The sequence below is a fragment of the Homo sapiens genome, chromosome 8 (assembly GCF_000001405.40).
Source record: "Homo sapiens chromosome 8, GRCh38.p14 Primary Assembly".
NCBI lineage: Eukaryota > Metazoa > Chordata > Mammalia > Primates > Hominidae > Homo > Homo sapiens.
The window spans coordinates 75,270,658-75,282,797 of record NC_000008.11 but is presented as its reverse complement, the minus strand read 5'-3'; the positions used below and the strand labels follow the sequence as shown (position 1 = coordinate 75,282,797).

Sequence of the window (12,140 nt, the reverse complement as noted above, 5' to 3'; positions counted from 1 at the left end):
ATTTTCACGATATTGATTCTTCCTACCCATGAGCATGGAATGTTCTTCCATTTGTTTGTATCCTCTTTTATTTCCTTGAGCAGTGGTTTGTAGTTCTCCTTGAAGAGGTCCTTCACATCCCTTGTAAGTTGGATTCCTAGGTATTTTATTCTCTTTGAAGCAATTGTGAATGGGAGTTCACTCATGATTTGGCTCTCTGTTTGTCTGTTGTTGATGTATAAGAATGCTTGTGATTTTTGTACATTGATTTTGTATCCTGAGACTTTGCTGAAGTTGCTTATCAGCTTAAGGAGATTTTGGGCTGAGACAATGGGGTTTTCTAGATATACAATCATGTCGTCTGCAAACAGGGACAATTTGACTTCCTCTTTTCCTAATTGAATACCCTTTATTTCCTTCTCCTGCCTAATTGCCCTGGCCAGAACTTCCAACACTATGTTGAATAGGAGTGGTGAGAGAGGGCATCCCTGTCTTGTGCCAGTTTTCAAAGGGAATGCTTCCAGTTTTTGCCCATTCAGTATGATATTGGCTGTGGGTTTGTCATAGATAGCTCTTATTATTTTGAAATACGTCCCATCAATACCTAATTTATTGAGAGTTTTTAGCATGAAGGGTTGTTGAATTTTATCAAAGGATTTTTCTGCATCTATTGAGATAATCATGTGGTTTTTGTCTTTGGCTCTGTTTATATGCTGGATTACATTTATTGATTTGCATATATTGAACCAGCCTTGCATCCCAGGGATGAAGCCCACTTGATTATGGTGAATAAGCTTTTTGATGTGCTGCTGGATTCGTTTTGCCAGAATTTTATTGAGGATTTTTGCATCAGTGTTCATCAAGGATATTGGTCTAAAATTCTCTTTTTTGGTTGTGTCTCTGCCAGGCTTTGGTATCAGAATGATGCTGGCCTCATAAAATGAGTTAGGGAGGATTCCCTCTTTTTCTATTGATTGGAATAGTTTCAGAAGGAATGGTACCAGTTCCTCCTTGTACCTCTGGTAGAATTCGGCTGTGAATCCATCTGGTCCTGGACTCTTTTTGGTTGGTAAGCTATTGATTATTGCCACAATTTCAGATCCTGTTATTGGTCTATTCAGAGATTCAACTTCTTCCTGGTTTAGTCTTGGGAGAGTGTATGTGTCGAGGAATTTATCCATTTCTTCTAGATTTTCTAGTTTATTTGCGTAGAGGTGTTTGTAGTATTCTCTGATGGTAGTTTGTGTTTCTGTGGGATTGTTGGTGGTATCCCCTTTATCATTTTTTATTGCGTCTATTTGATTCTTCTCCCTTTTTTTCTTTATTAGTCTTGCTAGCGGTCTATCAATTTTGTTGATCCTTTCAAAAAACCAGCTCCTGGATTCATTAATTTTTTGAAGGGTTTTTTGTGTCTCTATTTCCTTCAGTTCTGCTCTGGTTTTAGTTATTTCTTGCCTTCTGCTAGCTTTTGAATGTGTTTGCTCTTGCTTTTCTAGTTCTTTTAATTGTGATGTTAGGGTGTCAATTTTGGATCTTTCCTGCTTTCTCTTGTGGGCATTTAGTGCTATAAATTTCCCTCTACACACTGCTTTGAATGCATCCCAGAGATTCTGGTATGTTGTGTCTTTGTTCTCATTGGTTTCAAAGAACATCTTTATTTCTGCCTTCATTTCGTTATGTACCCAGTAGTCATTCAGGAGCAGGTTGTTCAGTTTCCATGTAGTTGAGCGGTTTTGAGTGAGATTCTTAATCCTGAGTTCTAGTTTGATTGCACTGTGGTCTGAGAGATAGTTTGTTATAATTTCTGTTCTTTTACATTTGCTGAGGAGAGCTTTACTTCCAATATGTGGTCAGTTTTGGAATAGGTGTGGTGTGGTGCTGAAAAAAAATGTATATTCTGTTGATTTGGGGTGGAGAGTTCTGTAGATGTCTATTAGGTCCACTTGGTGCAGAGCTGAGTTCAATTCCTGGGTATCCTTGTTGACTTTCTGTCTCGTTGATCTGTCTAATGTTGACAGTGGGGTGTTAAAGTCTCCCATTATTAATGTGTGGGAGTCTAAGTCTCTTTGTAGGTCACTCAGGACTTGCTTTATGAATCTGGGTGCTCCTGTATTGGGTGCATATATATTTAGGATAGTTAGCTCTTCTTGTTGAATTGATCCCTTTACCATTATGTAATGGCCTTCTTTGTCTCTTTTGATCTTTGTTGGTTTAAAGTCTGTTTTATCAGAGACTAGGATTGCAACCCCTGCCTTTTTTTGTTTTCCATTTGCTTGGTAGATCTTCCTCCATCCTTTTATTTTGAGCCTATGTGTGTCTCTGCACGTGAGATGGGTTTCCTGAATACAGCATACTGATGGGTCTTGACTCTTTATCCAATTTGCCAGTCTGTGTCTTTTAATTGGAGCATTTAGTCCATTTACATTTAAAGTTAATATTGTTATGTGTGAATTTGATCCTGTCATTATGATGCCAGCTGGTCATTTTGCTCGTTAGTTGATGCAGTTTCTTCCTAGTCTCTATGGTCTTTACATTTTGGCATGATTTTGCAGTGGCTGGTACCGGTAGTTCCTTTCCATGTTTAGCGCTTCCTTCAGGAGCTCTTTTAGGGCAGGCCTGGTGGTGACAAAATCTCTCAGCATTTGCTTGTCTGTAAAGGATTTTATTTCTCCTTTGCTTATGAAGCTTAGTTTGGCTGGATATGAAATTCTGGGTTGAAAATTCTTTTCTTTAAGAATGTTGAATATTGGCCCCCACTCTCTTCTGGCTTGTAGGGTTTCTGCCGAGAGATCCGCTGTTAGTCTGATGGGCTTCCCTTTGTGGGTAACCCGACCTTTCTCTCTGGCTGCCCTTAACATTTTTTCCTTCATTTCAACTTTGGTGAATCTGACAATTATGTGTCTTGGAGTTGCTCTTCTTGAGGAGTATCTTTGTGGTGTTCTCTGTATTTCCTGAATCTGAACGTTGGCCTGCCTTGCTAGATTGGGGAAGTTCTCCTGGATAATATCCTGCAGAGTGTTTTCCAACTTGGTTCCATTCTCTCCATCACTTTCAGGTACACCAATCAGACGTAGATTTGGTCTTTTCACATAGTCCCATATTTCTTGGAGGCTTTGCTCATTTCTTTTTATTCTTTTTTCTCTAAACTTCCCTTCTGGCTTCATTTCATTCATTTCATCTTCCATTGCTGATACCCTTTCTTCCAGTTGATCGCATCGGCTCCTGAGGCTTCTGCATTCTTCACGTAGTTCTCGAGCCTTGGTTTTCAGCTCCATCAGCTCCTTTAAGCACTTCTCTATATTGGTTATTCTAGTTATACATTCTTCTAAATTTTTTTCAAAGTTTTCAACTTCTTTGCCTTTGGTTTGAATGTCCTCCCGTAGCTCAGAGTAATTTGATCGTCTGAAGCCTTCTTCTCTCAGCTCGTCAAAGTCTTTCTCCATCCAGCTTTGTTCGGTTGCTGGTGAGGAACTGCGTTCCTTTGGAGGAGGAGAGGCACTCTGCTTTTTAGAGTTTCCAGTTTTTCTGTTCTGTTTTTTCCCCATCTTTGTGGTTTTATCTACTTTTGGTCTTTGATGATGGTGATGTACAGATGGGTTTTTGGTGTGGATGTCCTTTCTGTTTGTTAGTTTTCCTTCTAACAGACAGGACCCTCAGCTGCAGGTCTGTTGGAATACCCTGCCGTGTGAGGTGTCAGTGTGCCCCTGCTGGGGGGTGCCTCCCAGTTAGGCTGCTCAGGGGTCAGGGGTCAGGGACCCACTTGAGGAGGCAGTCTGCCCGTTCTCAGATCTCCAGCTGTGGGCTGGGAGAACCACTGCTCTCTTCAAAGCTGTCAGACAGGGACATTTAAGTCGGCAAAGGTTACTGCTGTCTTTTTGTTTGTCTGTGCCCTGCCCCCAGAAGTGGAGCCTACAGAGGCAGGCAGGCCTCCTTGAGCTGTGGTGGGCTCCACCCAGTTGGAGCTTCCTGGCTGCTTTGTTTACCTAATCAAGCCTGGGCAATGGCGGGCGCCCCTCCCCCAGCCTCGCTGCCGCCTTGCAGTTTGATCTCAGACTGCTGTGCTAGCAATCAGCGAGATTCCGTGGGCGTAGGACCCTCTGAGCCAGGTGTGGGATATAGTCTCGTGGTGCGCTGTTTTTTAAGCCCGTCGGAAAAGCGCAGTATTCGGGTGGGAGTGACCCGATTTTCCAGGTGCCGTCTGTCACCCCTTTCTTTGACTCGGAAAGGGAACTCCCTGACCCCTTGCACTTCCCAAGTGAGGCAATGCCTCGCCCTGCTTCGGCTCGCGCATGGTGCGCGCACCCACTGACCTGCGCCCACTGTCTGGCACTCCCTAGTGAGATGAAGCCGGTACCTCAGATGGAAATGCGGAAATCACCGTCTTCTGTGTCGCTCAGGCTGGGAGCTGTAGACCGGAGCTGTTCCTATTCGGCCATCTTGGCTCCTCTCCCTCTTTAAAGTGGTATGTTTTAACTACTCCGTTTTTTATTTTGTGGCTACCTGTTGTATTTTTTTTATTTGAGGTTACCATGAGGCTTGAAATAATATCTCATAACTCATTATTTCAAATTGATGAATACTTAACACTGATTGCATAAACTAACAAAGAAGCAAAAAGAAAACTAAAAAAACTTTACACTTTAACTTCATCATCCCACATTTTAACTTTTTGTTGTTTCTATTTACATCTCATTGTACTGCTTATGTCTTGAGAAGTTGTTGTACTTATTATTTTTCATAGGTTTATTTTTTAGTCTGTCTATAAATGGTGTGAGTAGTTTACAAACCACAATAACAGTGTTTTAATATTTTGTGTTTTTCTGTGTACTTACTACTAGTAGTGATTTTTTTACCTTCAGATGATTTCTTATTGCTCATTAATGTCCTTTTCTTTCAGACTGAAGAACTTTAGCGTTTCTCGTAGGACAGGCCTGGTGTTGATGAAACGTTTCAGCTTTAGTTTGTCTGGGAAAGTCTGTATTTCTTATTCATGTTTCAAGAATATTTTCCCTGGATATACTATTCTACAAGAAGAGTTATTTTTTTTTCTTTTGAACTTCAAATATGTCTTGCCACTCTCTCCCAGCTTGTAGGGTTTTCACTGAGAAGTCTGCTGCCAGATGTATTGGAACTCCTTTGTATATTATTTGTTCCTTTTCTCTTGCTGCTTTGTGGATCCTTTCTTTATCCTTGACCTTTGGGATATTGATCATTAAAAGTTTTGAGGTAGTCCTATTTTGGTTAAATCTGCTTCTATAACTTTCTTGTACTTGAATATTGATATCTTTTTCTAAGTTTGGAAAGTTTTCTGTTATTATCCCTTTGAATAAACTTTCTATTCAGATCTCTGTCTCTACCTCCTCTTGAAGGCCAGTAACTCTTAGGATTGCCCTTTTGAGGCTATTTTCTAGATTTTGTAGGCATGCTTTTGGTTTTTGTCTCCACTGTGCATTTTCAAATAGCCTGCCTTTAAGCTCACTAATTCTTTCTCCTGCTTGATCATTTATGCTGTTAAGAGACTATGATGCACTCTTCAGTATGTCAACTGCATTTTGCAGCTCTATAATTTTTGCTTGATTCTTTTAAATTATTTCAATCTTTTTCTTAACTTTATCTGATAGAATTTTGAATTCCTTCTCTTTGATATCTTGGATTTTGTTGAGTTTTCTCAAAACAGCTATTCTGAATTCTCTGAGTTCTCTGAGACACATATCTCTGTCTCTTTCAGATTGCTCACTGATGCCTTATCTAGTTCTCTTGGTGAGGTCATGTTTTCCTGGATGGTCTTGGTGTTTGTGGATGTTCATCAATGTCAGGGCATTGAGAAGTTAGGTATGTATTGTAGTCTTCATAGTCTGGGCTTATTTTTTACCTGTCATTCTTGCAAAGGCTTTTCAGGTATTTGAAAGGGCTTGAGTGTTGTGATCTGAGTTTTTGGTCACTGCAGCCATATTGGCTTTAGGGGATACTCCAAGACCAGTAATGCTGGCTCTGGCAGACTTCTAGAGGTACCACCTTGGTGGTCTTAGGTAAGATCCAGGAAAATTCCTTGCATTACCCGTACTTTACCCCAAACAAAGAGAGTCTCTCTCGCCCTGTGCTGATGTGCCTGGAGTTGTAGTGTGGGTGACACAAGCATCCTTATGACCACCACCACTGGTACTGTTCTGGGTCAGACCTGAAGCCAGCATAGCACTGGGTCTTACCCAAGGCCCCCAGTGACCACTGCTAGGCTACCACCTATGTTCACTCAAGAAATGACTAAGGGCTCTACAATCAGCAAGTGGCAAGTCCAGCCAGACTTATGCCCTTTCCTTCAGGGCAGGAAGTTCCCCTGGCCCTGGAAAGGTCTGGAGATGCCATCTGGAAGCCAGGGCCTTGAGTTAAAAGCCCTAGAAATCCACCTGGTGCTTTATTCTACTGTGGCTGAGCTGTCCTCCATGCCACAAGACAAAGTCCTTCCCACTCTTCCCTCCCCTTTCCTCAAGCAGAGGAGTCTCTCCCTATGGTCACTGTTGCCTAAGACCCATGAAGAGTATTACTTGGCTATTGATGCTGTTCACTCAAGATCCAAGGATATTTTTAGTCAGCTTGTGGTAAATGCTGCCAGTTCTGAGCTCTTTCTTCATGGAAGTAGGCTCCCCTCTGGCCCAGGGCAGGTCCAGAAATGCCATCTAAAAGCCAAGGCCTGGAATGCGGACCCCAGGAGCCAACTTGATGCTCTACCCTATTGTGGTTAAGTTGGTATCCAAGCCGCAAGGCAACATCCCCTTTACTCTTTTTTCTCAGTTCCTCAAATAGAGAGTATCTCTCTCATAGATGTCTCTGAATTCCTAGTAGTCATTCCTGCAGCTAGGAATGTGCTAGTTCACACCTGAATTCAGCCCAGCTCTGAGTCTCATCCAAGGCCCACAGCAAGTACTGCATGATTATCACTGCTGATTACGCAGCGCTCTTTAGTCAGCAGTTGAATTTTTCTACGACTGGGTCCTTCCTATCAAGGGAACAGCTTCCCTTCTGGACCAAGGTGTGTTGTGAGATGTTGTCCAGGAGCTAGGGCCTGGATTGGAAGCCTCAGGACTCTTTGCCTGGTGCCCTATTCTACTGTTGATGCACTGGTATCCATGTTTCAAGACAAAGTCCTCTTTACTCTTCCCTCTCCTCTCCTCTCCTCAAGTAGAGGGAAAGAGTCTCTCCCAGAGCTGTGGCTGTACTGTCTGGGATTGGGGAGAGGAGTGACAAAAGCACTTTCTTGACCACCCCTGCTGATATCTCACTAGGTTGCACTCTGCTTCCCACCCTGGAGTCCACTGGCTTCCAGCCCAGCAGAGTACCAGTACTTTCCCAGGAATTGCAGTCCTTGTGGCCTAGACTGCCTTTCAAGTTTATTTAGGATCTTAGAACATTTTAGTCCATGGTAACAGGGCTTGCTGGAACTCAGATTCCGACCACTGGGATGAACAACTTGCCTCTGGCTAGAGCTGGTCTAAATGCTCCCTCTACAGGCACTAGCTGAGTTCTGCCTAGTGTTGCTTTCTTCTGTGACAAGGCAGCAGTAAGTTTCAATGCAAAGTCACACAATCACTGCTCTCTCCCTCCCCCAGGTGCACAGATTCTCTCTTCACATCATGTGGCTGCTGCCAAGGTATAGGAGAGGGGTGGTGTAGAGAATTCAAGACTGTCTTTCCTACCATCATCAATGCTTCTTTCCTTAGTTAAAACTAAGTGTTTAAACTGGGTACTGTGGTTGCTCTCCTAAATTGTGGTTCTTATAAAGCGGTATTTTTGTATGTGTGGATAGTTGTTTAATTTGGTGTTCCTGTCAAGGGTACAATCACTGGAGGCTTCTATTTGACCATCTTGCTCTGCCTCCTACCCACTGTTCTTTTTTAATGTGAGCATTTCCAACTGTAAATTAATCTCTGAGTAGGTTTCTTTTGCTGAATTCCAAAAGTTTCAGTAGATTGTATTTTTGCTTTTATTCCACTCTAAATATTTTCTAATTTACCTTGTAATTTCTTCTTTGACCCATTGGCCTTTTCGTAGTGTGTTATTTAATATTTACATATTTATGAATTTCTCATTTTTTTCTATTACTTATTTCTAGTTTCGTGCCATTGTGTTTGGAGATTTTTCAGATGATTTTAATCTTTTAAAATGTATTGGCCGGGCGCGGTGGCTAATGCCTGTAATCCCAGCACTTTGGGAGGCCGAGGCGGGCAGATCACGAGGTCAGGAGATCGAGACCATCCTGGCTAACATGGTGAAACCCCGTTTCTACTAAAAATACAAAAAAAAAAAAAAATAGCCGGGCATAGCGGCGGGCGCCTGTAGTCCTAGCTACTCAGGAGGCTGAGGTGGGAGAATGGCGTGAACCCAGGAGGCGGAGCTTGCAGCAAGCCGAAATCACGCCACTGCACTCCAGCCTGGGTGACAGAGCAAGACTCTGTCTCAAAAAAAAAAAAAAAAAAAGTATTGAGACTTGTTTTGTGGCCTAAAATTTGGTGTACCTTGTAGACTGTTCCGTGTGCAGTTAAGAAGGAGTATTGCGTTGTTGAATGCAGTGTTCTGTATATGATGTCTGTTAGAAGTAATTGTTGTATAGTGTTTAAGCTGTCATTAAAACAAATCTTCAATCTACTTGTTTCTTCCATTATTGAAAGTGTGGCATTGAAATCTCTATTCTTTCAGAATCTTCTATTCCTCCTTTCAGTTGTCAAGTTATGTTCCATGTATGTTGGAGCTCTTTACATACATAAGTGTGTGTGTGTGTATATAATTGTTACATATTCTTGATTGGTTGGTCCTTTTATCAATGTATAATGTCCTCTGGGTCTTTTAACAATCTTTTACATAAAGTCTACTTGGGCCTATAGCCATACCAGCTCTCTTTTGGTTACTATTTGCATGGAATATATTTTTATGTTACAATATATTCTTTTCAACCTGTTTGTGTCTTTGTATATTAGTTAAGTCTATTGTAGACATCACATGGATGGACCTGTATTTGTATCCATTATTACAATCTCTATCTTTTAAATGGAGCGTTTAACCTATTTATAGGTCAAGAAATTACTGATAAGAGCTTCCGCATTTTCCTATTTTTTTCTATGTTAGATTTGGTAAACATCGTGATTACTTTTAGCACCTTAAACTTATAACTACCTACTTTGAAATTATATTAACTTTGCTTCAATGGCATACAAAATTCTGCTTCTATACATTTTCATTCCTCCTCCTTACATTATTATTTTCTCAAATTGCCTCATTATATTTTGTGTGCCTATTAAGTTTGTAGTTATTGTTTTACACATTTGTCTTCTTTTTTTTATTATACTTTAAGTTCTGGAGTACACGTGCAGAATGTGCAGTTTTGTTATACAGGTATACACGTGCCCTGGTGGTTTGCTGCACTCATCAATCCATCACCTACATTGGGCATTTCGCCTAATGCTGTCTCTCCTCCAGCCCCTCACCTCCTGACAGGCACCGGTGTGCAATGTTCCCCTCCCTGTGTCCATGTGTTCTCACTGTTCAACTCCCACTTATGAGTGAGAATGTGTGGTGTTTGGTTTTGTTCTCTTCTGTTAGTTTGCTGTGAATGATAGTTTCCAGCTTCATCCATGTCCCTGCAAAGGACATGAACTCATCCTTTTTTATGGTTGCATAATATTCCATGGTGTATATGTGCCACATTTTCTTTATTCAGTCTATCACTAATGGACATTTGGGTTGGTTCCAAGTCTTTGCTATTGTGAATAGTGCTGCAATAAACATACGTATGCATATGTCTTTATAGTAGAATGATTTATAATCCTTTGGGCATATGCCCAGTAATGGGATTGCTGGGTCAAATGGTATTTCTAGTTCTAGATCCTTGAGGAATTGCCACACTGTCTTCCACAATGGTTGAACTAATTTACACTCCCACTAATGGTGTAAAATCATTCCTATTTCTCCACATCCTCTCCAGCATCTGTTGTTTCCTGACTTTTTAATGATCGCCATTCTAACTGATATGAGATGATATCTGATTGTGGTTTTGATTTGCATTTCTCTAATGACCAGTGATGATGAGCATTTTTTCATATGTTTGTTGGGTGCATAAATGGAAAACACTCTTCAGGATATTATCCAGGAGAGCTTCCCCAACCTAGCAAGACAGGCCAACATTCAAATTCAGGAAATACAGAGAACACCACAAAGATACTCCTTGAGAAGAGCAACCCCAAGATGCATTTATCTTTTAAATCATATGAGATAAAAAGAGGAAGAAGTACAAGTAAAAATACAATAATACTCACTTTTATATTTACATAAGTTGTTATGTTTACTTGTGTTATTTTTCCATATGCCTTGCTTCAAGTTATTATCTAATATATTTTAATTTATCCTGAAGAATTCTCTTTAGCATTTTTTTGCAGGGCAGGTCTACTAGCAATAATCTCCTCTAGTTCTTCTTTTTCTGGAATTGTTTTAATTCTTTTCTTAATTTTGAAGGATAGTTATAGCAGAAACATAATTCTTGATTGACAGCTTTTTTGTTTCTTTCAGCATAGTAAATATGTCATTCTACTGTTTTCTGGTGCCCATATTTTCTTATGATAAATGAACTGTTAATTTTGAGGATCCCCTTGTATGTGATGATTTGCTTTTCATCTGATGCTTTCAAGATTCTCTTACTGTCTTTGTATTTTCACAGTTTGATTATAATGTGTCTCTATGTAGATGTCTCTGAGTTTTTTCTATTTGGAATGTGTTGAGCTTCCTGGATGTATAGATTTATGTCTTTCATCAAATTTGAGAAGTTTTCAGATATTATGTCTTCAAATTTTCTTTTTTTTTTTTTTCTCATTTTCTTCAAGGACTCTCACTATACCTATGTTAGTATGCTTTATGGTGCTCCACACCTAGGCTCTGTTTATTTTTCTTCATTTGTTTTTCTTCTGAGACTTCAGACCGAATTGCTTAATTGATATCTTCAAATTTGCTGGATCTTTTTGCTGCCTATTTAAGTCTACTGCCTTCTTTTAGCTCTTTGTCAATGGTTGCCTTTAGCTGTTTGAACATATTTAAGACAGTTGATTTAAGTCTTTGTCTAGGAAGTCCAGTGTCTGTGTTTCCTCAGAGACAGCTTTTGTTAATTTCTCTTTTTTTTCACGTGACTGGGTCATACTTTTTTTTTCTTGGCTTGCCTCATAATGTTTTGTTAAAAACTGGATGTTTTAAATATTGTGATATAGTAACTCTAAATCAGATTCTCCCATGTTCAAGATTTTTCATTTGCTTGCTGTGAGGTTATAGTGAATTTTGTAAACTACTTCTGAAAATATTGCGTTCTTTGTGATGTGTGGTCTCTGATATCTTTTTTTTTTTTTTTTTGAGATGGTCTCTGATATCTTTCGCCTTTACCTTCATTGTCAGCCATTGATTTGACAGAGATTTCTTTAGTGTCTAGAGCTGAAAACAAGCAAACAAAAAACAAGCACAGAAGAAGAAGGAGAGGTAAGGAAAGAAAAGAAAATTTTCTCCAGTCATTGCTTATCTCTGATCATCCAAAGCACTACACTTCTAAGCCTTTCCTCCCAGGCTTTCAATATGACCATTGTTTGCCACAAATGTTATTTTATGCACCACACAGAGTAAGTCATTCATTTTTCTTTCAGTGTTTTTGAAGAACATGTTTTTAGGCACCTCTTTGCCCTGAGACAGTTTTGAGTTCGGTAAAACAAATGTAAGTTCCTTCATTGCATCAATATTTCAGGAATCCACAGACAAGTAAGCCAAAACAGACAAACACAATTCCTTGGGAACAACTTTCACTCTGCGACTTTTAAAACCTGGTAACTGCATCAAGAATGTGGGCTGCTATTTTAAAGACTGTGGCATCATGGGGAATTTGGTGGAGTACAAATAAGTTAATTGCCCAAATCCTTTTCTATTTTGTGTTAGTGTCCTTTCTTCAAGTTAAACATTCACTTGTTTGCTATAAACCTTTGACTACCTTTCAGAGTTCCTATAAGATTGATTCTGACAGATTTGCCAATTTTTCAGTGTTTCTAGGAACGGACTAACCCCTGGTTTGTCCCTACTGTGTCATTTTTGCTTACTCTTGCCATGTTCTATACCCTACCTTGGTAAATATTTTATACTTAAATTTG

General features: G+C 40.0%; 1 long non-coding RNA gene across 3 annotated transcripts in view, besides 2 other annotated features; it reads left to right on the top strand.

Annotated features, from left to right (window-relative positions):
• Positions 3,683 to 4,882: an enhancer, noted in NCBI's record as "CDK7 strongly-dependent group 2 enhancer chr8:76190151-76191350 (GRCh37/hg19 assembly coordinates)". NCBI's record gives its function as "activates an origin of replication core promoter dependent on BRD2, BRD4, P300/CBP, MED14 and CDK7 cofactors, with strong dependence on CDK7, by STARR-seq in HCT116 cells {active_cell/tissue: HCT116}" and the evidence as "EXISTENCE:reporter gene assay evidence [ECO:0000049][PMID:35650434]".
• The window catches only part of CASC9 (cancer susceptibility 9), a 55,773-nt gene continuing 47,541 nt past the window's right edge, over positions 3,909 to 12,140 (top strand). Inside the window, exons 1-2 of one of the 3 annotated variants that reach the window (NR_103848.1) lie at positions 4,317 to 4,441; positions 5,708 to 5,811. This is a non-coding gene — a long non-coding RNA (cancer susceptibility 9). Of the gene's footprint in view, positions 4,086 to 4,316; positions 4,442 to 5,707; positions 5,812 to 12,140 lie in introns of those variants that run through there. The other 2 variants (NR_103849.2, NR_103850.2) reach the window with 2 other exon arrangements.
• Positions 4,277 to 4,477: a silencer, noted in NCBI's record as "peak7077 fragment used in MPRA reporter construct". NCBI's record gives its function as "represses an SCP1 promoter by STARR-seq MPRAs in K562 erythroleukemia cells {active_cell/tissue: K562}" and the evidence as "EXISTENCE:reporter gene assay evidence [ECO:0000049][PMID:32103011]".